At 38.8% G+C, this 27,094-nt stretch overlaps 1 long non-coding RNA gene across 1 annotated transcript, besides 1 other annotated feature; it reads right to left on the bottom strand.

Annotated features, from left to right (window-relative positions):
• Positions 1-10,978: 10,978 nt before the first annotated feature.
• LINC02432 (long intergenic non-protein coding RNA 2432) lies at positions 10,979-22,472 on the bottom strand. The gene is made up of 4 exons (NR_121625.1): positions 22,014-22,472; positions 14,657-14,767; positions 13,277-13,473; positions 10,979-11,236 (listed from the first exon to the last, which is right to left on the bottom strand). It is a non-coding gene; the product is annotated as a long intergenic non-protein coding RNA 2432 (long non-coding RNA).
• Positions 21,367-22,566: an enhancer, noted in NCBI's record as "BRD4-independent group 4 enhancer chr4:142252666-142253865 (GRCh37/hg19 assembly coordinates)". NCBI's record gives its function as "activates an origin of replication core promoter dependent on BRD2, P300/CBP, MED14 and CDK7 cofactors, and independent of BRD4, by STARR-seq in HCT116 cells {active_cell/tissue: HCT116}" and the evidence as "EXISTENCE:reporter gene assay evidence [ECO:0000049][PMID:35650434]".

The raw sequence follows: 27,094 nt of genomic DNA on the forward strand, positions 1-27,094 counted from the left end.
TCAAAAATCCCAATGCCTGGGCTATGCTACAGTCCAAATAAATCACAACCATTGAGGGTAGGGTCTAGGCATTAACATCTTTAAAGAGCCCACATAAATTCAAGGTGCAATCAAATGGTGAGAGATAAAAATAAGGTTGCCTTTAATCATAACTAAGAGATTGTTCCCTATACTAAAAATATATTTGTTTTTATATTAATTCCAGGGCCTTTATAATTCCTGAACTTTTTAATGTACAAATTACAGATTTAAAGGTAAATTATAAACTTTAAAAATATTTAGGTCATCTGTTACTTAATGCTATAAAGAATACTTTTTGAAAAGGTGACAAGGGCTTATCTACACACAAGAATCTAAACTATGTCCTACATCGAGTTGTGAGAAGGCTAGCTAGACCCCAAATTGCAAAAGTAGAATATGCATTAAGACTTTATCATTATGCTATAATATGATGAGACATACTCTAATTTACCAATATATATCAGGTTGATAATGATTTTAATATCAATGGATGTATTAGTTAAGGTTCTCTAGAGAAATAAAACTAATTATCTATATCTGTATTGACATAGATATTTATTATATAAATTGCTTATGATATTACAGGGGCCAAGAAGTTCACAATCTGTTGTCTGTAAGCCAGAGAACTAGGAAAGCTGGTGGTATAATTCAGTCTGAGACTAAAGGCCTGAGAGCCAGAAGTGCCAATGTCTGAGGGCAGAAGAAGCTGAATGTCCCAGCTCAAAGAGAGAGAGCACATTTTTATTCAGACCCCCAAGAGATTGAATGATGCTCACCTGCATTGGTGAGGGAATCTATGCAGTCTACTGATTCACATGCTAATCTCTTCTAGAAACATTCTCACGGACAAACCTGGAAATAATATCTTACCAGCCACCTGGACATCCCTCAGCCCAGGCAAGTTGATACATAAATTAACCATCACACTGAGCTTCAGTAGCATCACAGAGAGTTTTAATTGGATTTAGCTCTCTTCCTCCATTACCAGAAAGAAGTACCTTGGAGAAAATGGCAGTTTGGCAGAAGTAGCAAGAACCGCACTTGTGATGTATTTTTTTTTTTCATACAAACTTTCTCTCTAATGGTACTTATTAATTTCCAAAAGCCAAATATTTGTGGTCTGACTGCATCAGAATCACTTTGGGGACCTGTTAAAAATACTGATTCCCTAGTCCAATCCCAGAACTCTGGTGCCAGCCTTTCTGGCAGTGAAGCCTGAGGAGTGATGCTCCCACGTGGCTCTGATGGCCAGCCGCCTTAGGGCAGCACTGGCAAATGCTGGCTGATGATGAAACCTTAGACTAAGAAGAAATCTGGTGGTGGGGAGAGTACATTCTTAATTAGGGAAGAAACTACTGGCTGTTAAAAGGTGATATTAGTGACTTTGTCTTTGCAGATCAAACTGCCTATGGTGCCATCTGAAAGATTCCTCCATGAATATTTAGGAGGCACTGGGAGGGTTTCCTGTATTTTTAGTGGGGTGGTGGGGAAGGGGTCACATGGTGAATTTTCACAGCAGTTTTCTTAATCTGATTGTATGTTGAAATGATTTGTTATGGAAATAGGAAAGAGGAAGTACTGTAGTCTCTCACGTGGACTCAACCATATTTTTTTAAAGTAAGATTTTCCTTTTTGTAGAGATGGTTCTTGCTTTGCTGCCCAGGCTGGTCTCGAACTCTTGGCCTCAAGCAGTTTTTCTGCCTCAGCCTCCCAAAGTGGCAAGAAACACTGTGCCAAAGCCTGAGCCATCTTGTGGGACATGGACTCCTGTCTTTCAAGAGTCTTTCATCATCTTTCATGAGCTCCTTTCATGTCCTTCATGAGTCTTTCACCATCTTTCCCCTCAGTGTAGTACAAGGAAAGAGGAACAAGCTTAGCAGCCAGTGATGAAATAAAATCCTGCTGCTGCCACCCGCTAGCTGTGTGACTTTAGCCATGTTCCATAACCTCCCTGAGCATTCATGAATTCACTGGTCAAGCAGGGTTAACTTCTCACTGGTTTTGTGAGAATTAAGTGAGTTAACATACTTAAATATGAACTTAACCAATACTGATTCCCTTGTATAAATCTGTGTCCCTTGTTCCTGGGACAGAACAGGTGCTCCATAAAAGATAGGCAGAGATAGATGAAAGAATGGGTGGTCAGTAACTTGTACAGGACCTCACATCTGTAAGACATGCTAAACTATTTCTGAAAATGGTCTCAGACAAAGTTGTTTTTACCAGAAGTCATCTCAGGCAGTATTTTATGTTTTTGGAAGAAGTTCCTTCATAAGCTTCCTGGAATGGGAGTGGAGTAAGTGAGGGTGTGAATTGCTAGGACTACGAATCCTTTCCTGCCTACACAGTCCCAGTTGATACCTGTTGTAATAGCACCCCCTTTGACACTAGAAAGTATCCCAGGTTGGATACTTAATCACATGGTCATCATATGTAAGGGTCATGCTGAAATAACATTAAGTGGTCACTGAACCATCTTTGGGGAAGAGGGTTTCCTGCAGAGTGCTGGTGGTCCTGAACCAGTGTGTGAGCTTGGTGCTGGCGCAGATTTGTTTGGGTAGTTGAGGAGAAGCTGAGTATTGCCTCTAGCAACTTTCCCCACTGAGTGCTCAGTCCTCCTAAATACACCCTGAACAAAATAGTAGTTTTAAGGAGCACTAACAGACCCACAGTTCAGGCTAGCCCAGATGGGGCTACAACTATTTGCTACCTCAATAATTAGGTGGTAGAGTTATTTATCAGAAAGAGAAATGGGCTAAGCACCAGGGAGTCCAAACTTTAGGCTTCACGGTTATTTAAGCTGTGTCTGATTTACTTTTGTCAGTCGCATTTAGCTGCTGTCATTGCATGTGCTTCTGAGAGGCTGCAGCCAGCCCTGGGTGATGTCCCATGGAACTTTCCTGGGAGTTACAGTGAATAAATTTTGAGACACCTTAACAGCTCCTGGGGCTGCTCTACTCCTTTCTGTATTTCAAGAATTTTCCAAATAATTGGGCTGTTGGGTAAGTGTGGTCTAGTTTCATTGGCGAGGTGTGGCAATGGTTTAACACTGCACCGTGTTCTGCTGGAAAAGTGGGACATAGACCTGTGGCCTCTCCTTTCTCTATCTGTGCTCACTCCCTGGATAATCTCTTCTGATCTCAAGAATTTCATGCCACCTCCATATAGCTGACTCCCAAATGTATACCCTCAGGATGGAACTATTCCCAGAATCACAGGTTTGTATATATAGCGGTGTATTTGATATTTCTTCACAGATGGCTAATAGACATTTCAAACTTATTATGTCCAAAATTAAACTCAATGTTACCCCAAACCTCAAGTTTTTTCCATCTCATTCCCTGGGAATTCCATTCTCCCAGTTGTTCAGGCAAAAAAATCTTAGAGTCATCTTTGAATTCTCTCTTTCACTCGTACTACATTTAACATGTTAGCAAATCTTATCCATTTTACCTTTGAAATCTGTCCACAATTCAACAACTTTCAGTTATCTTCACTGCTTCTACTTTGGTCTAAGCCACCCTCAGGCATTGTCAAGATTATTTCAGGAGTCTCCCAGTTGATCTTTTTGCTTTCACCCTTGGTCCTCTCACAGTCGGCTGCAGCCAGAAAGATCCTGTTAAATGTAATTCACATAATGTCCCTACTCTTTTTTTCTAAAATCCTCCAGTGGTTCACAGGGACTGAACTGTTCTCTCTCCTACTTCCTCCATCCCAACTCTCTAAGATCATATACTGATTCTATGCCTCCCTGGCTCTGCTGTAGCTGCATTGGCCTCTGCTGTTTATAGAATAGGAACACACATTTCCACTAGAAGATTCCCACCAGGTGAGCTTCTGCCCCGGTCTCTATCCTTGCTCTTTCCTCTGCCTGGAATGCTTCTCCTTGAGGTATCCTCTCCATTCATCCCTGCCCCCTTCATGCCCTTATTCAGATATGGGCTTCTCGCTCTAAAGTTGCACCCACTCTTCTCACTCCTCTTCCCCTTTCTTCCTTTATTGTTCTTCTTAGCACTGGTCACCATTTAACATATTTTATATTTTTTATATATACATATATATACACACACACACACATATATATACACACACACATGCACACACACATTATATATAATTTATATATTATATATAAAATTGTTTGTGCTCCTCAACTTAAACATGAGCTCTGAGGGCAGTGATTTCTTCTGCTGCTTAATCTGTTTGAGTAACTGCTATAGTTTCAGGATTTAGTAAAGTGTCTGACATGAGTAGTTTCTCAAATACATTTGCTGAAGGAATTAATGAGTGAGACCTCCCGAATTCAACTGAGATTTACTGAGCATCAGCAATGGGACTTAGCGATAAACTTTATGATGAACATATTTTTATTTTAATCTTTTCTTTTTTAACTTAGGATTATATTAAACTAAAGGATCTTTGAGGGTCTTCCTGCTGGCTAGCCCAGCTTTTCTCTATGGGTGGGCTCAGGGCACTTTCTAGTATCGTTAGTCTACATGTAATTCATATTTCATGTTTGGATATGAGAAGTGGCAGGGATCTAATACAAGGGAACACTTAAAACATTTTTTTTTTCAAGGAAGCTGCTGTCTGCTTCTTTAGGTAAGCAGACTGTAAGCACCCTTGAAACACTTCTATAGTCCCTACTACTGACTCTCTTTGTTCTGCAAATGTGAGGTGGATTGGTATGTCTGTCTTGGGCAAAGAGTGTAACACTCCTACTTCTGTGATGTTCATGCCTATCAAAATCTCTATCTTCCCTAGGTTTGCAGAACTTTCAGGAGAGAGTGATGAGCTAGTTTGAATAAGGGGCCTAGGGGCCTTTAGAAAGGAAAGGGACTAAGTATCTAACCTAGAGGTCGGTCAGCAAACGTTTTCTTTAAAGAGCCAGGTAGTAAATATTTTAGACTTGTGGGCCATATGATCTCTGTCACAATAACTCAAAACCCAACTTTGCCATTGTAGCACCAAAGCTGCTATAAACAATTTTTAAGTATTACTGTATTCCAATATGGCATTATTTATGGACACCGAAATTCATATAATTTTCACTTGTCACAAAATATTTTTCTTTTGATATTTAAAAAAATCATTAAAAAATGTAAAAATCATTCTAAGCTCATGGTCATAAAGAAGCATACGGTGAGCCGGAATTGGCCTACCAACTTGGTTGTTTGTTGACCTTGCTATAAACCTTTGATCTCTGAAACAGAAGACAGCCCAAGGGTTCTGATGGTTGAGAGAGGGACTTTTTGCAGCGCACACAGAGTGCTTATGAATCCAATCCTCCTTGGCATGGTGTTGTATTTTGAGAAACATTGGCTTCTGTTCATGTATGAGAGAGGACTGTAACCTTGGGGTGTAGGTGTGATGGGCTGTGCCGAAGTCTGGCAGCATTGGCATGACTACCAAAAATGATGCCCATCCTTTGGGTTGTGTAGGACCATTGATCAATAGTTATCAGTGATTTGATCAGGCATTTCAGTGGTTTTCTTGGCTTGGAAGCTGGGCTAACCACTTTTGAAATCAGTAAGTCTCTAGGATATTTGTGCAATTTAGGTTGGCACTGAGGAGAATTCTCCAGAGGGAGTTACTGGGCATCCTGCCAATGTGGGTATATGGGCTCAAGCCAACCATATTTGTAACCCAAGCTAGTAAGAGGGTCCTATTTGTTACACTTAACATTACTCTTTAGTCGCTAGAGTCCCACAGCATGGCACCTCCTGAGAGCTCAGTAAGTAATTGGTGAATTGGAGTTTATAGAAACATAAGGCATTGCTCACTCCTTGATTAGTCTCTCTCTCTCTCTTTTAAGAATTTCTGAGATTAAAAGGAAAAGGAAAAACATGTATTGAACTACCATGTTTGGGCATGGTGTCATGAGCCATGTCATATATTATCTGCTTTAATTCTTCCTAGAAAGTAGATATTTTTATTTACAAATGATAAATTACCTGTTCAATGCTTACAGCTAATAGGTAGTAGAGTTTTGGAATGCAGTCCTGTCTGACTCTTGATACTGCCATTGCTTTTCAGCAGATGGATGTAATCCATTCTTTGTATAATGCAAAAGGAAAAGGGTATTGATGTGTTAGGCTAGATCAATCCCCCTCACTGCCATAAAACTTAAGTCAAAATCCATTTCTCCTATTTATGGCTATTTTGAAATTCATACAATTGCACATTTAACTTGTAATATATTAGTCTGTAGGCCTTGGTAAGACACTTTAAAATGCAATATATATTCATTTATGAGGGTGAATTGTCCCAGAACATTGCAGTCTCTTAGGTTTGGATTATACTCCATAATGTATTTATTACTTAAATATCTTTTCTTTAAGTTCAAACACTTAAAAGCATAAAATGCCTCTCATCTCTCTTTTCATCAAGAATCCCTCTCGTTATCTTTAAAAATTGCTCATAAACCAGACTGCTTACTTTTAGACCCCTTCAGCCTCCCTCTCCCTTTCTCTCCCTCTCTCCATTTTTAATTATCCCATCTTACCAGAGTGTCTTGGCCGGGAAGAGCCATGCAATGAGAGATGTGCTGTTTTTTTCCTCTCTTTGGTACTAGAGAAGAAACATTGTTTAGACAAAAGTAGCCTGGTTCTATCCCTGATTTCCTTCAGTACAGTGGCATAAATGTGTAGCATCTAGACAGTTTTGAGGCTGTTGGCCTGGATAGGTCCACACTGGTCACCTGAATTTTATGTCTAATACTCAGGTAAGATATTCAGGTTAGTTCTTCCAATAGCAAGTATCTCTTTGTAACAATACTAAGAGAATCTTTTATAATGAACTTAACAAGGACCACTGAAGGATTTATTGAGAACACTGGAATATCAGCCTTTCAAGAGAACTATGTTTGCTTATATAGACCAAACTACAAAGGAAACACAATGGGTTGGGATATCAGTTTCTTATTCCTCTTCAGTAGGAAACTGATGATGACACATCCTTTGGCAGTATGGCTGAGGATCTACTTTTTAGCTGTTGTGAATCCTTGCACTGTTTCACACTGTTCCTGTTGCACGTGATGTGGTTCTACTTTAGGAACCTTATATCAAATGTGGATAGTTTTAAGTTCTTGATTACTAACTTCATTATTTCTCTTAAGTCTGTTTTCACTTTTCAGATTATCAGGGATCTTCTGAATCTGAGTATCTTTGATCTTTTCTGCACTAAGGATGCAGAGGTTTGAAAGTACTTTTGCAAGCCAGGAGGAGAAATGAGAAACAGACCTTGTATTTGCACAGCCAGGTGATACTTCCTATGGATTGCCGTTTCGACTCCCTTGGATACAGGGCTCAAGAGTTTGCTGCTGCTCAACCTCCTCTTTCCATTTTTGGTGAGTGTGATGGCATCTCATGGGAAACACCTAGCAGGGGGTCTGATGCTTGATTAGCCAGGAGGTGCTAGTTGAATCTGACCCTTGCCAGTTCTTTTGCAAAACTCTGGAGAAACAAAGTGTGCAAGGCACCACACAGGGACTCTGAATGTGCACATGAAAGGGGCATTAACTTTGGGCCTGGCTGCAATTGCTAGCAGTGCACTAGATGTGTTCCCATGGCTGGCCCTCCCAACCTACCCAAAGGTCAGTTTAAGGAAATGGAGGGAAAAAATTGGAATAACAACTCAAAGAAATGGTAGGATTCTAATGAAAAACCAATTAAGGCAGACAGATGGCTGACACACACTTCTGACTTTCTTAAGAATATTTAGAGAAGTTATTTTTGTAGCATATGAAGGCAATGCCTGACAGCAGGTGTTAGTCACCATCATTTAGAGTGTGCCGTACAGAGCCTTAGGTAGACAAGCAGGAACACAGCATTTTATTTTGTCATTTTCATATTAAGATGTCAAATATACATTTTTAACAGCATTTTTAATGATTTCAAAGGACAATTTATCAGCTGTCATCTCAGAGCTGCTGACACATTCACTCAGAATAGAAAATCCTTTCCATGTTTTTATAAACCAAGTGTTTCAAGGAAAGAATATCAGGCATGTTATTCTTTTCAGATTAGAATATTCAAGTGAAATATGGGTCTTATTTACTGTTTACTACAAGGGATAGAATTGAGGTTAAATTGCCTAATTGTAAATCAGAGCTCCAGAGATCTAATCCCAGCTGTGCAACTGAAATAGCAGTGAGAGCCAGAGAAAGTCATTTTAGGTTTCTTGGAACATCGTTTTCCCATCAGAAGGGAGTTCCTGGGAGTAAGAGTTTAAAGAGTGAGGAAGAGAAGAGTATTCTATGGAAGAAAATATTGGAAGAAATTTGTTAAATTCTGACAGTCCTACCAATTAATTATATACCCTTTATATTATTGAGTACTGCCTTGAGGACTTGCAGAGAAAAAATTTATTTAAAGAATAAAAATAAATAAATGGAAAGAAGAGTAGGAAAGGGGAACAAAAAAGCAGAAAAGTAGTCATAGATGTATTAATTGAAGGAGTCTTAAGGGAGGATTTTCCCCATAATACAAACACTTAACAGGTACAGGCACTTTAACAGAACAGATGTATTTGGCTTGTCGAGGAAAAAAAGGACAAGATCAAATGGGGTAAATTCAGGAAAAATATCTCATGAATAAATCTTCAGGGGCAAATTAGCAAGTACTCACAGTTTATGGCACTGGAGACCTGATTACAAAGTGAATTGAATGACTCAAAACGTTTTTGTGATGTTTCTTTACCAATGAAGGAGCTTAAGGAGGAGAAAGCTGTTTTGAAATAACTCTCTGGAAAGAAGTACAGGGCTCTTGTTGGCTTACTTTCTGTAACAACACTATGCAATACAGTTTGTACATATGTTTGTAACAATTGCTAAGAAAAGACATTATTGCTAGAAAAATACAATCTTTTATTAAGAGAGATATTGAAAATGTCTAAGTTAAACCTTGAGGGAAAATAAGTAGCAAATTTTTTCAAATTATATAGGTAAATGCAAAATCATGTGTTTCTGTTAAAATATTTGCAGTAATTTTCAATTTAATAAACAGTTGTGAGCATCTACTGTGAGTACCATTTTGAGTACCAAGAGCAGTACACAAAAAATTTACTGAAATAAAGAACTGAAAAATTAAAGGAATATTTCCAGAAGTTATTCCCATCTCTCCTTTTTATGGTATATTACAGGTTAAACTTTTATGACCTTCAAATATCCTCAATGTGCCCAAGTTTACAATCAAAGCGATTTTTCTCCCCTACTATCCTGCATCCATGTCCTTACCTAAATATTTTAGTCTTTCTTCTCTTTAGACATCTCATTGTGTAACACCTGAACAATCAGTTTTTGTATTTTTAGATGGAAGAGATAGCAGAGCATAGAGTTAAAGACTGGGGTGTGAAATTCATCCTCAGCAATGATGAAGTCTTCTTTATTATGGTCAGGGCATGATTATTTAATAATATTTGAGGACAATCAACAAAATAGTAATCAGAGAAGGTCATAATTGAAAGGAGCTATAGAGCTTGTCTATTTTATATACATTATTTTATGGACACAATCCCACTCAACAAGAACTTGCTGACTCTGTCAGCACTGAGCTGGCTGTTGGAATCCAAATATTGAAAAACATAGGCTCAAAGAGATCAAATACTTACTCAAGTTTACATGTTTTGCTACATTCCTTCCATTTGACCCACTCTCTGCATCCTTCATATGCTCTGTATCCCTGGACATCACATCAGTAAGATTTCTAGCCTTCTGGTTTCCAGTTGAGATTAGCCTACGGGATATACTTCATAGTGAGTAGGGAGGAGACAGAGGTCAGGATGTTTATCTTACCTTTGGAGTTTCCAGGAGCTTGTTGCATCCTGGCTGAAGATCATAGTGTCGGTAAGGGAATCCTGTCTACACAATTCTCTCCATCTGGTTTCTGATAAACATTCTCTTACCTTGCCCCTCAGGCTACAGGTGGTAGAAGCACTTCATAGTTACTAACCCCTGGCTCTGCATCATCCTTCATGTTTCCCATATATCTTGCCCACATCTTTACAAATAGTTCTTTAATTAAATCCTCCTTAAATTGCCCAATTTTAGCATGCCACCTGTTTTCTGCTGGGACCATGAGGGTTATGCATTCTATAAAATGATTTTCAGTTTTCTTGATTTGTAATGTGTCTTGGGGTGTTTGTAAAACAGTTTTTATTTAAGATTTGCAAAGTTCTGATTGTTAAGAGTTTGGTCATTTCTAAGCCATTGATAGATAAGGGACCTGCATGCAGTAGGGACAAGATGGCAGAGTCCACATGGCAGCACTGGAAGTTTACATTCAGTATACTCAAGTTGGTATTTAAATAATTGGTGGATCAATCACATTCTTTGATTTTAAATTCCATTAAGTGGATTTCTGTTAGGTGAGAGATACTTGTTCTATCCCTTCTACTATGAAAGTTAAAGACCAAAGTGTGCTTTGGTAGAATTTATGCCAAGAGTTTGTTTACCAAAGTAGCAAAATTGATAGGAGGTAGATCTAGACCTGGGAAAAGTTTAGGAAAGAGGAAAGACAATGTCTGCTTTCCTTATCCTCTTCCCTCTAAAACTGTATTAACCACTAGCTTATGGTTAGAACTCTTTAATAGTAGAGTATATTCTTGATCTTAAGACTTTGATGTCCATTCACATTATACTATCCTTGAAAGTGAGAACACCTTATTGGTGATTAAAAATGCCTTTGGGGGAAGTGTTTTAGATCTTTCTGATAAAGTTTTGGTTTGTGAATAGGGTGAGATCTGAGAGATTTGGGACCTAAAATTGGTATGTATGTGAGAGATGGTTGGGTTAATGGGGGGATTGGACTGTGGGAAAAAGGAGGAAACATTTTCAAGTGGGGGAAACATATTATAAAGTTGCCATACTAGAGGAAAATACATGATTTAAGAAAAAGCTGAGAAGACTCTCTTAATTACAGAACTAGGTGCAAAGGATGACAACTGGGAAAACAATGAAGAGGTCTGAGTGAAGTGTCTCATTTATTTTGTCCCAGCCTTTGTCTTATTCATGAATGTAACATTATAGTTATACTGATTAGGATTCAATGAAAATTGATACTAATATTTATTGACTGTTTACAATAGATGAGGCAGTGTTCTAAGTCTTTTACATTTATTAAATCAGTCAATTCTCATAAAAAGTCCATGAGGTAGATGCAATCATTGGTCCCTGTATTAGTCCATTTTCATGCTGCTGATAAAGACATACCTAAGACTGGGAAGAAAAATATGTTTAATGGACTCAGTTCCAGGTGGCTGGGGAGACCTTACAATCATGGTGGAAGGTGAAAGACATTTCTTACATGGAGGCAGCAAGAGAGAATCAGAGAGCTAAGCCAAAGGTGTTTCCCCTTATAAAACCATCAGACCTTGTGAGACTTATTCACTACCACGAGAACAGTATGGGGGAAACTGCCCCCATGATTCAATTTTCTCCTACTGGGTCCCTCGCACAACATGTGGGAATTATGGGAGCTATAATTCAAGATGAGATTTGGGTGGGGACACAGCCAAACCATATCATTCCCTATGTTAATTTCCTAGGGCTGCCATAATAAAGTACCAACAACTGGGTGGCTTAAAGAACGGAAATTTATTGCCTCACAGTTCTGGAGGCTAAAAGCCCAAAATCAAGGTGCTGGTAGAGTTGATTCCTTCTGAGGGCTATGTGGCACTGTTCTGGACCTCTCTCCTAACTTCTGGTAGCCTCAGATGTTCCTTGATTTGTAGGTGTGGTCCCTGTGTCACATTGTCTCTCATTGGTATATATCTATCTCTGGAGTCCAAATTTCCCTTATTATAAGGACACTAGTCATATTGGATTAGGACCTGCCCTAATGACCGCATCTTAAATTGATCATCTGTAAAGACTCTATTTCTAAATAAGGTCATATTCACATGTATTGGAGGTTAGGACTTCAACATCTTTTTGTAGGACACAATTATACCTATAACAGTGCCCATTTTAAAGTTGAGGAAACTAAAACACAGAGAAGTCTGCTAAATTGCCCACTGTCACCAAGAATGTAAGTAGTAGTGGTAGAAAGTCTGTGTTTTAACCATGATGCTGGATTGTCTTTTATGAAGGAAGCTTAGGTGCAGAAAGACTGGATTATAACACAACAAAGTAAGTGCCAGGGTTTTGTGTGATTGAAAGTCTTGGCACCTCCCATTCTGAAGCATTTGTGGGCATGGTCTCAGTCTTCTAAAATGATTTTAAATTGAGATTTGCATTAGCACCATCTGAAGATATTTCTGTCTGAGGAGATTGGTTAATTGGCACTGGAGAAGAACATTGCAATTTTCTTTTACTGAATAACCTGCTTTTTAACTTGAAACTTCAGATGAAGACAAAAATGAAAGAATATTATGTTTTCATGCCTACTGGCTTTTTATTGAAATATACTTTAATATAGTAAAATGAGCACATCCAAACCATATAATTTCATGCATATTGAAAAATGTAGGCTGAGTGTGCTGGCTCATGCTTGTAATCCCAGCACTTTGGGAGACCAAGGCAGGTGGATCACATGAGCCCAGGAACTCAAGACCAGCCTGGGCAACATGGCAAAACTCTGTTTTTACAAAAAAATAAAAAAATTAGCCAGGCATGGTGGCATATGCCTATAGTGCCAGCTACTTGGGAGGCTGAGGCAGGAGGATTGCTTGAGCCTAGGAGGCAGAGACTGCAGTGAGACAATATCATACCACTGCATTCCAGTTTAGACAACAAAGCAAGACCCTGTCTCAAAAAATATATATACACTTGTATATTACTAGAGGATCAAAAGTCTTTCATATTATTTTGCATTCTAACCAGCAGGAGAAGTCCTTGACTACAGAGAATTTTGAACACTTTTCTGATGGTATTATTTTACAGACGAGATGGGATGAAGTAGTGAGTAGACCAGCTCTTATTTTATTTTTGTTTTCATTATTTAAAGGTATTTTTCCATTGTTTCCCCTGCATTTTCTTGGCTCAAGATCAACAATAATCTTAATATTTTTACTTAATTTTATTGGAGTTGTCCCTTATCAGAGACAACTCCAATAAAGTTACCTCCCTTGGTACATTCAATTCACAGCCTTATAAGGGTGTTTGAAGGGTTATCATGGCTAATATTTTCCTACCATTGACGCAAAAGCAGCAGGATTTGGGAAACTAGATAGAGGCTTAAAGCAAGAAGGAGAAAGCAAAATCTAGGCCTAACAGTTTGTGTGTACAGCAGTATGGTGACACCTGCTTTCTACCAACCTTCTGTCTGCCACTTTTCTCCTCTCTATGTCCCATCTTGCAATGGAGAGAGGGACACATGCTTCTAGTCTTGACAGCACCTTCCTCACCTCTGAGGACGGCTTGATGCAGTACATAAGTGATGGAGTATCAATGCTGGTGGTTGAGGTGGAGAAGGAATTTAGTTCCTTGAATTTTCTTTGTTCTCCTCTGTGTTCCTACAAGAATAATGAAATTTCAGGAAGCTATAGTTCAGAGACACATTTCAGATCATGCAGAATACCTCTGGAAAGAAAGTTTGACTAATTGGCCCTTAAGATTGTATCCAACTCTGTGATTCTAGAATTCATTTTTCAAATAAGTAAGTTGCAGCCCTGAGAGGTTAAGTAACTTGAAAAACAACATACCAGAAGGTAGGGCAGAGCAAAGGCTATGACTTGGGATGCAAATTTCGGTGCACCCACTATCAAATCCAGAAGCTTCCCATGCCAGACATAAATAAGAAGCTGGATTCCTTCTGCTTCACTTTTGGACTTTTGTCTTTTACACAGACTCTACGACCTCTTAAACCTTTGTCAAAAAGTTCACTTACCAACTGAGGGCTAAATATGCCTCTGTGAAAGGCGGAGGTGAACATGACAGTACTCGGCACACCTACTTCTCTTCCATTGGCAGGACCACTGCAATCCCAACCAATAATAACTCACTAACCAAACTCAACAAGACCCACATCCAAACACACCACTGTCTGATGCACTTCAAAGTGCAAATGTAGGAAACAACTTTTCAGCCAATAAGTTTGCTGGTGTAACTATTCATTTGGAAACAAGAAGGAAAAAGAACAATATTTAATTAAAAGTTCAGATTTGTTTTGGATACCAAATCAAAAACTAGGATGTCTCAGATTTTACAAGTGCTCCTTCAATCACAGAGATCCACTGTGTGGAATTTGCAGTACTTTGTACTGCAGAGTAGGTTGTAATTGGACAGGTGAGTTCTCCTCCCTTTTCCTATTTCCTCCCTGGGAGCTCAGCAGAATACAGGAGCTAGCAGCATGGAGCTCTGAATTGATGCATGCCTAATCACAGTGTGCAGACAGCTCCCCTGTCTGTCCTAGTTCTCCTAGCCAGAATTTATATTTACCAAAAGATGATGATACATAGTAATAAGTAGAAGTCTTACAAAAGACATGGCAAAGAAAGTTTGGGTGACCATGAAGTAAACCTGGGGCAACACAGGATGGAACTGAGAAGCAGCGTAATTGCCAACTGCCATTCCCCAGGGTCAAAGACCCCTTTATGGATGAGATCTTTTCTTCCTTTCTGCAGCACCTAACATACAACTCTGAACATCCTAATTCATTTTAGTCCCTCTGCAAGCACTGCTGGATGACAGACTTACCTTCTTGGCCAGGTAACCCCTGCTATATCATAAGATTTCATCTGCGAGAAAAGGAGGAATTCTTCTACAGCTCCCCTGCTCAACTTTCAGGAGATTTTGACCCATGTGCTGCTACGGAAAGATTGAAGAAGACAAAGTACATTTAAGTAATTTCTGATCTTTATCCCCTAAGTATGTGTGAGTATATGGTAACCAGTAATGATTTATACTAACACAGCTTCATCTGAATTCCAGAACATTTTCTAAGCAATGCTCCGTCAATCCTCCAAGCAGCCTTTAACATGGATAGGAAAATGAACATATTTTCTATGACTCATAAACAATATGGATGCACTTAATAAATCCAGTTTTACAGATATTGTAATGATGATTCCTCAGCCCTAGCAAAGTCAGAGAAGTGAGTTCATATTTGGGGAAGTGGTATGCAAATGCAAGAATGTCAGTGGATGTATTCCTACCTCATACTTCATGCACATTAAGTATATACTGAGTAATTTATTGTTTCACAGAAAATGTCTTCCTTATATTTAAAAAAGTCCATCCTATTTTTTAAAGGACAAAATCACTGCATATAATTGAAAATTGAAAATGTACTTAAGTATACTAAAAATGAAAGTCATTCTCATTTTCAACCTATTTTTCACTCCTCTGAAGTAATAACTGTTAACAGTTTGTGCATACTTACAAACATTTTTTCATGTGCATATTTATAAAATATAAAGTTCTATATATTATTTTGCAACTCATTTTTATCATTTAGTAATACAAGTTGTGATAATGTAAAATATATGTCTAATTTATGCCTTTTAATTGTCACATTTGTTGCTTTCAACTTAAAAGATTTTTAACCCATACCTCATTAGTGATCGTTTCTGCAGTTTCCAATTATTTTCTTATTGCAAACAGTGCTACAATAAAATATTACGTTGAGCAGAAATGCTACTATAAGTATCCCCATAGCATTGTTTGCAATAAGAAAAAAATTGTTACAACTCTTGTTGGAGAAGGTAAGTGTATCTTTAATATAAACTCACAGGGTAATTTCATATATCAGGTTTTTTTCCTATAATATGATAGTTTAAGACAAACGTTTACTATTATTCATAGGATGACATATTGGTTTAGTGATTCTTTTAGTCTTGGCTAGATTGATTCACATGTCTGCTGTAAGTAAGCTGTGGGTTGGCTAGGTGTTGCTGCTGATCTTAGCTGGGTTCTCCCATACATTTGGGGGTTGACTAACTGTTGGCTGGCCTAGAAAGCCTCAGGATTTCTCCTAGAAGCCCATCCTGGGCATGTTTTCATGGTGAGACTGAGGGCCACGGAAAGGAGGTGGAACATGTAAATGTTTCTTCAAGTCTCTTGTGTCTTTTGCTACTATTCCATTGGCCCCAGCAAACTTGAATCCAAGGTATGTGTGGTAGGGCATTTAGCGTCAGTGTGAAAAACTAGAATAATTTTTGCAATCAATTTTCGTATATATTTTAACAGTTTATGGATATTGCCAAATTGTCCTCTCACAGGATTTAACAAATTTTCACTACTACCAATGTTGTATGAGAGGATTTTTGGCAACAAAATTTAGTCTCCCAGAGTGAAAAATTACGAACACAGGACAATCTTGTTCCTTCTGATTTTTACTATTATGTTCTAAAACTACTGACCAAATTTATAATACTTATTGCTTTTTCTATTGTACAGCTTTTCTTAATAATTTATAACATTTGCATTCTTTTTGATAAATTTAAAGCCATATTAATAGTTCTTTTTTTTGCCTTAGCCATAATTAGAAGGGAATTAATGTTTACTTTATTAGTTTTTTCAGAAAGCAGCTTCCACATTCTTAAGCTCTGTACTGTGAACCACATCTTAGTTGGGTAAATTTTGTTATCAGGAAGGTTTTCAAAACATGGTCATGCATGTTATATTTTCTGAGATCATTCACATCTAACAATCTTTTCCTATTGCTTTTATACATGAATGGGCTGAGGATAAAATTATTGGGTCCCATATTTCCCCTTATTTATCCATTATCTTCTGGAATTGAATGTTCTATGAAGAGCTTTGATATAGGTAATCTACCTGTCCTTCCATTCATTTCAAAACGTTAATTAAGCATCTAACATGACAGGCACTATTCTAGGCACTGAGAGTATAGAAATAAACCACACACACACATACACACACATACAAACACACACTCACATACACACACACAAATATCCTTGCTTTCCTGAAGCTTAAGTTCTTGTGAGAGGACATCACTAATAAAAAGAAAAAGTAAATAATTATCTATGTAGTATGAATAAATAGATTAAGTAAATGAAAGTAAAACAAACAAAAAATTGAATGGCTTAAACAACATAAATTAATTTTTTCACTATTCTGGAAATGAGAAGTTCAAAATTAAGGTGTTGGCAGAGCTGTCTCCCCTCTAAAGACGCTAGGGAAGAATCCTTTCTTTCCTCTTCCTAGCAAGAAAGTGGTTGCGGCAGCGTCACTCCAGTCTCTGTCTCAGTTGTCACACTGTTTTCTTTTCTATGTCTCTGTGTGTCCTCTCCTCTTATAAGGTCCTTAATAGGTTGACTCTAATCCAGAGTAAACTTATATTTAACTAACTGCATACACAAAGACTCTTATTTCCAAATAAGATCCCATTCTGAGGTTTAGGGTGCACATGAATTTTTGAAGGACACTGTTGAACCTAGTACAGGAGCAAATACTGCCCTTAGTATTACAGAGTGAAACCTTCAACAATAGGAAGCACACGAGTGTTGGTATTTGAGCAGGGTACCAGTGAAGGAAGATTACAAATCATGATTTGTCCTATCTGCACAGTCAGCTACCCAGTATAACCCGAGGCTTGATTCTGGAGTGTCTCCACAGGTGGAATAAAATTAGGGGCCAATGAGAAGAGGAGTAAGAGGACCACTCTAAGAGAGGAAGACAAAACCCTTCAAATTCATGAGTCCACTTGTTTCCTAGAGTATAAAGATGAAACATCAAATTGTGACCCAGCAAAAGACCTACAGAGTGGGAACTGCTCTGTAGCACATATACAAGGAAACTGATGTGATTGGATATTGATTGCAATAATGCCTTTGCAAATCCTCTGGTTCTACAGCCCCAGGTCAACTGTATTTGTCTTCTTTCTATCAGAGGAAACCAAGCCCTCAGCTCTCACATGGGCCTGACATGGAGGAGATAGATCAATGAAGTGGGAGAAAAGCAGCAATGGTGAGGTGGGAGACGACACCAGCACTTGATATTCTATCTCCAGAAAAGTGGATATTCAAGATTTGTACCTTAGGCACCATCTGCTCATCCTGATTTCTTTTAATCACCAATGCCAATGTAGAAAGAGAGATGTAACTCTACACCTCTTTGCTTGAGCTTAGGGTCATTTTCACAACTCCAGAGTTCTGAGAAAACTCTACCTAATGGGGAAAAAGTGTTTATGTTTTTACTCAGTTGTTTCGTTACATAAGTTGATTATGTTTGAAAATAAAGTGTATTGTTTGCTAGTTAAGAGTGATAATTCTTATTCACTTGCATTTCAGGAGCCTCCGAATGAGGAAATCATAACTCAGGCATTAAAAACTACTTTCTATATTTGAATTACTTTTTATCATTTGTCTGAGACTTGACCATAAAGATGCTATATACATCTAATAAAGCACAGAATTGCGCCCTCACACAAAGTGGGTTATTTCAGTGATTTGAGGCAGAGAAATCTGTTTCTGAACCCAAGTCACAGGTGGTGGGACTCCTTCATTGTTTGTACCTTGTAAGTAGAAAGCAAAGGGAAAAGTCAACCAAGCAATCTCAGTTGCCAAGGAGACACAGTATTTTCTATTGAATGAAGAAAAAATATGTGAACTCCCTACTTTTGTTGACTCACTACAAGTCGATACCAATGATCCTGAATAAATGGTTTGTCAAACAACAGGGCCTTGTTGTCGTTTGCATGGATGGGAACTTCACACAGTGTAAAAAATCAATACTTACCGATTAATTTCTTTGAGAGTGTGGCCTTGCTAGTATTGCCTTTTATATTACTAAGTAGATTTACTTTCTATATTTCCTCCTTCCTCATTGCTTAAGGGAACATTTGCAAGATTCATAGTAATGAGTCGATTCAGACTAGTACAATTCAAAATATGCAATTTGATTCATATTCTTCCAGGTTCTGAACAGCTACTAGTTTAGAAGCATGCTGAAAACTATGCTATAAATGAGCCTTTCCTATTTGATTGGCTTCACACAGTCTCCAAAGGCCGCTCTCCTTGCTATTCGTATATAAGAAGATAGACCTTTGGTTGTGTGGACAGCAGAAGTAAGCAAAAAGAACTCTTGCTCATTCTTGAGGTTCACAAGTTCTAATTATCACAAACAGAACATGAGCTGAGCCTGAGACAGCCTACAAAATCACTGTCTATTACTTCTTCAAATGTGGTGCAATATGAGGCCTCTGCTGAGGGAAATATAACCACACCCTGATTGTATTTTTATCTGCTCATCTCATCAAGCTTTGATTTAGCAACAGATGATTAGGCAACCGTTGTTGGAGGATATTGCAAGCTTATAAAACCCTGAGATTCTTGTTTAACGGAAGGGGATAAAAAAGACATCAGGAAGCATTACAAAAGTTTTCTTTAATGTTTATCTGGCCTGTAAAATAGTGAGTACAAGTAGGAGAATCAGTAAATAGTTATTTAATGACCGATGGCTCTGTGACTAGTATACTGTAGCAAGTCCATAGGAATGAATGCTCATGGAGAAAGGAGGTAAAAAGTGAAAGAGGGAAAATAATTTCAACAAAAGCAAGATCTGTGTTTTAGATGAATTAATATGAAAATTAATGTACATTTCCTTTAACAAAAACATTCATGTTCTTAAACGCTCAAGACTCCTAATTACTTTTATGAATATAAATGGCTAGACCTTTGTTACCCGATTGATTATTAGAATTGATTTCCCTGGATAGTCTGTTTCTTTTCTCATTGATTTAAATGCCCTTTGGAAGTTGAGCTCACAGATTAAAAAAAAAAAAATGTGTCCTTACCAGACGGAAAACAGTATTCTTGGATCCAGGGTCCTTAGCTCTTTGGATCATTTGGTCTCTTGAAACTCTTAAGGATGAAGGTAGGGACAATGCAGGAACATGGAAACTGAAAATTTTGGGTGTTGGGTTTGTCCAGTACTGCATCAACTTCATTTTACAGCTTTCTCTTTACCTTGTTTCATTTTCCCCCCCTCCATGGCTTTCCTAAAATTGTCAGTTTCCTGGAAGACCCAGACACCAGATCTGTATTGCCTAGCTCTTACTGAATGTTTCAAAGAAATGTTTGGCTACTAATCCACAGTATTATTAAACTGCAACCAAAAGCAAGCCTAGAGTCTCCTGGTTTAGGTTTTGAGACTACTGTGAATGTGTAAGCTCAAGACAGGTATGTCCCTGCTTGGAAGTAGACAGGAAAATCTTTGCACTGCTGAATTAAGCTACAAAATCAGCAGTAATTACACACCTGCTTGTTTTTCTCTTACCTCCTGAAATTTCAAAATGTATTGATATTTTAGTGAATATATTATAAAATAAAATACACTTAATGTATTTTACATTGTCTAAAATCTTACAAGGAATGGCTGAGACATGAGTGACAGAATTGTGCTGATGCTGTAGGACTGACACTGGAAGGACAAAAAGAACTAGCATTTGTCTAGCACTTCTCTATTCCAGGCTCCGTGCTAGATGCTTTAAATATAGTATTGGGTTTTACATTTAGAACAACTCTTTTAAGTGTTAACATTATTATGAGGTTGAACCTCATGAAATTGCCATTTTTGTAGGTCGAAAATGTTGCATATTGGAAATTTCAAATGGTTCAACCTAATTTCTTTTTTATGGGGAAAGAGAGAGAGAGAGATATATTAAGTAATTTCACCAAATCACAGTTTCAAACCCAGGTTTTATGACTCTCAAATCCTTTGTACTGGGCTACCTTCCAAAGAGGCTGTTGTTACTTCCCTGTTGATGCTGGAGAAGTCATTCAGTATGTCTGCACTATGATTTTCATACCCCCAAGTGATCTATTAATACCCACCCACCTACTTGATAGGGTTGTAATTAGGATCACAGGAACTTCTATGTAAAGCTGTTTTGGGGAATGTGTCTTAGAAATGTAGTATACTTCTGTTTTTCAGTCCAGGAATGTGCCCAGAATATATAACATCAACTAAAATGGAAAACATCTAGCTTTTCTGGATATAAAATACGTCTTTATAGTTTCTTCCCTAACATCTCTTAAATTTCTTATAATTGGGAAAAATTATGTTTTACTGTAGAGAATGTCTCAGCTTAGGAATATGTTGCTTTTAGCATCTGAAAAGATTAAGACAGTATAAACACTACTCAGTGGATTTTTAGGGGGTGGTTAAGTGTGTTTGTTCAAAGAAAAGAGAAAGCCTTTATTGGAATCTTCAGGAAATTTAAATACTAAATTTATGAAATCCACAACACTTAGTATAGTTTTTCTTACATATAATAAATACTCAACAAATAGTAAATAGAAAGCAAAGGAGCGAGAATGAGAAATTTAAAAAACACTCATACTATAAACTCTAAAAATAAATCCTAATAATGCCTTTTTAGTTCTGATTTTCTGAAGATTATCCTACTAATAGAAGAGTATAATGATATTTAGAAACTATTAAAATGAATAAAGAAATTTGTTTTATTTGAGTGTGTGTAATAGGGTCTGAGCATATATTTCTTTTTTCTCTCTTAAGTGTGCCTAGAGCACATATGCACCGAGAACTCTACTAGATGCTAATGAAACAATGGTGACAAAACAGGCTGTCCCCGATCCAGCTCACAGCGTACTCTGGTACTCTCTGCCTGGTGAGTTGATTTCATGAAAATTTCTTTTGAGTGGTTTCTTTGAGCAGAGCTTAAAGAGGATGAAAGGAGGACAGTTGTCATGAGTAATAGGTGAGGAACATTTACAGGAACAGAAAATTGTCTGAAGACTTTAGGGACATGTCAACACTTAGCTGAGAAAATCATGATGCTTGCATGCCTAACTCCTTCTACCTGGAAATCGGATGTGAGCATGTTAGAGATTTCAGGAAGAGTATGGTGTTTAGGAACAGAGGCACTTGCCACACAGCAAACGTCAGCCAGCAGGAATAAGCACATAGTAGCTTCAGGTGTGATCACCAGCCATAGATTCTCTGTTCCCCACCCCACTAATACTGGGACTTTTTACACACCTATATTTGCCCATATTTTCAGCAGAATATCCTGTAGTATACGTAATAACTGGTAAGTTTAGCACAGGTGGTAAGTGATATTTACCTGTTAATCACCGAAATTTTTTAAGGAGGCTTCTCCTGGCATGAAAGAGTTGGTATTGTGTCCCGAATTGGTTGGTTCTTGGTCTCACTGACTTCAAAAATGAAGCCGCGGACCCTCGCGGTGAGTGTTAACAGCTCTTAAGGTGGCACGTCTGGAGTTTGTTCCTTCTGATGTTCGGATGTGTTCAGAGTTTCTTCCTTCTGGTGGGTTCGTGGCCTCGCTGGCTCAGGAGTGAAGCTGCAGACCTTCTCGGTGAGTGTTACAGCTCTTAAGGCAGCGCGTCTGGAGTTGTTCGTTCCTCCCTGGGGCTCGTGGTCTTGCTGGCTTCAGGAGTCAAGTTGCAAACCTTCAGGGTGAGTGTTACAGCTCATAAAAGCAGTGTGGACCCGAAGAGTAAGCAGTAGAAAGAGCGAAACAACAGAGCCTCCACAGCATGGAAGGACACCGGAGCGGGTTGCCACTGCTGTCTCAGGCAGCCTGCTTTTATTTTCTTATCTGGCCCCCACCCACATCCTGCTGATTGGTAGAGCCTAGTGGTCTGTTTTGACAGGGCGCTGATTGGTGCGTTTATAATCCCTGAGCTAGACACAAAGGTTCTCCACGTCCCCACCAGAGTAGCTAGATACAGAGTGTCCATTGGTGCATTCACAAACCCTGAGCTAGACACAGGGTGCTGATTGATGTGTTTACAAACCTTGAGCTAGATACTGAGTGCCGATTGGTGTATTTACAATCCCCGGGCTAGACATAAAGGTTCTCCACGTCCCCACCAGACTCAGGAGCCCAGTTGGCTTCACCCAGTGGATCCCGCAGCGGGGCTGCAGATGGAGCTGCCTGCCAGTCCCGCGCCGTGCGCCCGCACTCCTCAGCCCTTGGGTGGTTGATGGGACTGGGCGCCGTGGAGCAGGGGATGGCGCTCCTCGAGGAGGCTCGGGCCGCACAGGAGCCCACTGAGGGAGTGGGAGGCTCAGGCATGGCGGGCTGCAGGTCCCGAGCCCTGCCCCACGGGAAGGCAGCTGAGGCCCGGCGAGAAATCGAGCGCAGCGCCGGTGGGCTGGCACTGCTGGGGGACCCAGTACACCCTCCACAGCCGCTGGCCCGGGTGCTAAGCCCCTCATTGCCCGGGTCCGGCAGGGCCGGCCGGCTGCTCCGAGTGCAGGGCCGGCCGGCTGCTCCGAGTGCAGGGCCGGCCGGCTGCTCCGAGTGCAGGGCCGGCCGGCTGCTCCGAGTGCAGGGCCGGCCGGCTGCTCCGAGTGCAGGGCCGGCCGGCTGCTCCGAGTGCAGGGCCGGCCGGCTGCTCCGAGTGCAGGGCCGGCCGGCTGCTCCGAGTGCAGGGCCCGCCAAGCCCACGCCCACCCGGAACTCCAGCTGGCCCGCAAGCGCCGGGCGCAGCCCCGGTTCCCGCTCGCGCCTCTCCCTCCACACCTCCCTGCAAGCTGAGGGAGCCGGCTCTGGCCTTGGCCAGCTCAGAAAGGGGCTCCCACAGTGCAGCGGTGGGCTGAAGGGGGCTCCTCAAGTGCCGCCAAAGTGGGAGCCCAGACAGAGGAGGCGCCCAGAGCGAGCGAGGGCTGTGAGGACTGCCTGCACGCTGTCACCTCTCAGTATCTTTATAAAAGGTGAGCAATTTTCTGCTCAGTGTATGAACTTCTACTCATTAAGACAACAGCACAGTTGAATACTATATTAATAACGATGAATACAGAAGTGATTATTAGCAAGTTCTATATATCTAATTAGAAGGCTTTGGGCTATAACAAACTCTGGGAATACAAGCTCGAGTACATTACCCAATATTTGAGAGATGTCTCAGAACACATGAATGTGAGGATCTTGTGAAATTGACTGGACATTACATTATGTTGTGCAGTTAGAACCAGATAATCTATCAAGGTGAAAACCAGTGTCTGGGACATAGGCCAGTGTCTGGGACTTGGTCCAGGATATTCCTAGGCAATGGCAGGCAGCAAGTCAATGTTTTTCATATGCTATGTGTACATGCTCTGAATGGATTCAAGTCCTGATTTTGCCATTTTTAAAGATACCCACTAACAAAAGCTGGGTGAGACTCAGTATTTAAGTGAGACCTGAAGTCATGGTTATAGGGCTATAAAAGGCTGTACAGATCAGTAACAGTTTTTATTTATGTGCACATGTGTGCCTGCATACAAAACAAGGAATAACATAACATTGCATCATTTAAATGAAAAAATTAACTATCATACCCATGAAATATTTACCTCAGATGTAACTTCATGAGGGTTCACATCCTTCAAAACAGCATTTGAAACAATTTATAATTGAGTTTTACAAAGTATGAGACTAGATTCATTTAGCCTGATTTCTCTAGGTAGATATTGGTAGTAAAGCATTGCACAAAAGTGACTACTTCAGTGGAGGATATCCCACAGAAGGAAGGATTTTAATAGGAACTCACTGGGTGTGGGAAGCCAGTGACAGAAGTTAGTGGAAGCAGCGTGGATTTTGGGGGTGCTGGTTTGCTTATAGGACACTCTCAACGTCACACTTTTTCCCCTCCACATGGTTCTATTCATATCTTTCACAACAAAAGTCTTCATACAGCAATCCAGAAGGCAGAATGAAACATTTTTGCCCTCCAAACTTGAGCTTGTTCAGATTCTGTTTCTGCCCTCTTTTGGGGTGTAACTTGGACCAGTATGAATGGGTGGGGTTGGTAAGTGTATGTAACTGTAGAGATACCAGCTTAGGGTTGCCCATTTTAGCAAATAAAAATACAGGACACTCATTCCAATTTGAATGTTGGAAAAACTGTGAATACTTTCTTTAGCATAATTATGTCCCAAATATTGCATGAGACATATTCATACTAAAATATATTTCTTGTTCATATGCATTTCAAGTTTAACTGGGCCTTCTGTACTTTATCTGGCAACCCTTACTTAGTTAGAACTTTGGTGAAGGAAGCCACCATTCAAAGGTTGACAGAGTTTTGTTGATGATGTTTTGCACAGTGATGTTTGATTGGCCCTCTTTAGATAGTCCATATAGCCATGGGAAATCAGAATTTGATAAACTGATAATCTTTTGTAATACAGTTTGGCCCCAATATTCCTTGGAATCTGGGGAAATTTGGCCTCTCCATGGGTCATGCTGTTGAATGAGAAAGCAGGATAGAGTTCTGTCTATCCAGGCTTTTAGGCTGCTGTTCTAAGTAGGATCAGGCTGGTTAATATGTGATGTTGTTCTGTGTTGCTGTTTGACCCCTGTGTTCTTTGGAGTCTGTGAAGGTTTGCCCTTTAAAAATCAAACTACCACGGAAACTGCTTTACCCAAAATTTTAGTTTACAGCATTTGTTGGATTACTTATTGGGGTAAACAAAGTTTAGCCATGTGTACATGTTTGTAAACTGTTGAGTTTGTATTGCTATCTCATGGCTAGTGTTCTGAAATAAAAGCTATTAGATTATTATGTGTGTATATGCATTAGATATGTTTATGTATATGCATATTTATTATGTTATATATCATATCTACCAAATTGACTTATAAATAAAACAGCACTCATAAATTAAGTAAATAAGCTCAAAAAAGTTTTCAAGTTCATGTGACTTAAGCAAATTTTTAACAAACAAGCTATCTTTAAAATTATTGGTAAGATAAAAATAGAAGTGTCTTCAGATATGTTAGAATACACTTTTGTCTGTGTTTTATATTTGTCTGTGCTGGATATTTTGAGGTGTCATGGTTTGGCACAGAAGGTTATGAAACTATAAACTCAGCCAAAACAAAATGATCGTTGTGTGCCTTGACAAATGAGACTAATTTGATGTTGTTAGTTTAATAAAAACAGCTGAATCTTCTGAATTATTAACAAAAATACCTATGTATTTAACTGTAAGTTTCTTAAGTTAGGTGAGCACCTTATAGTGACAGGCTGTAAAAAATGGTTGACAAGGAAATAATTTGAAATAATGACTAGCTTTAATATCTCAGTTTTCAGAAGTAATAAAACTGTTAAAAATGAAAGAATTGAGTATATGCAAATGGGATAAATGTTGTAGGTGAACTTTTTGTGTAACATAAAATCTTAAAATTGTTTTTGATGTTCATTGGATGTCTGAGTTATTTACTATTAAGAAAGGGCTATGATATAGGGAAATATGTTTCTAAAAATTGTGGAATGGTCTCATCTATAAAATGCTAATATTTGACAGTTCAGGATTTCTGGTTTCCATTTTCACTAAAATTTAAGGTGACTAAGAGTAAGAATTGTAGTTAATGTACAATTCTGTACATAAAATGTGCCAAAGAGGATGTGTCCTTCCTGAGAAAAAGAATAATTCTGTCTAATTCAGAAGTTATCTAAAGGTTAATTCAAGTTATAGACTCGAAAAGGTTATGTATGCAACAAGGTAGAAAGGAACAGTAAATAGGGGAGAGAGATGTGAAGAAAGTTATAGGTATGTACATGTATTTTTGGTAAAAAAAAAAAGTTATAAATAAAAGAGAATAAGAGAATAATTTTGTATGAGAAAGGATCTTGTATGGTAAATTTTTATCCTGAAGTAAAATGACTTTTTTTTGTTTTTTTTTTTAGAAAAGTTAGGATGAAACAAATAAATCCAAGTAGTTCATATATGGTCTGTGTAAGTCATATGTAGTTTTTCCCCGTTTCTCTGTGTGTCTATCTTCACACATATACAGAGAAAATAGAAAGTTGACAAAATTTAGATAGTAAAATATTCTTTAAAACCTAATAAAACAATTAGAGAAGTTTAGCTAATTAACACTGCTCATAAAGTTCTTATTCTTAATGAAAGTAAATTAAGAAATATTGTAAAGAAATACACTGGCAGTTTGGCAATTCTTTAACATAGTTAAGCATGAAGCCAGATTTAACATGGAGCCAAATTTTATATCATATTTGCATAGTATGATACAGATAGTATTAGGATAGTTTTGCTATAGATAGTATATGCATAGTGCTGCATAGATAGTATTAGCACAAAACCACTTACTAGTCATGCGCCTAAAGTGAGTTTCTTAATGGCATAAAATGTATAGTGGTATTCATGGACATTAATTTTTATACCAGGAGTGAG

Source organism: Homo sapiens, chromosome 4 (assembly GCF_000001405.40).
Source record: "Homo sapiens chromosome 4, GRCh38.p14 Primary Assembly".
Lineage (NCBI taxonomy): Eukaryota > Metazoa > Chordata > Mammalia > Primates > Hominidae > Homo > Homo sapiens.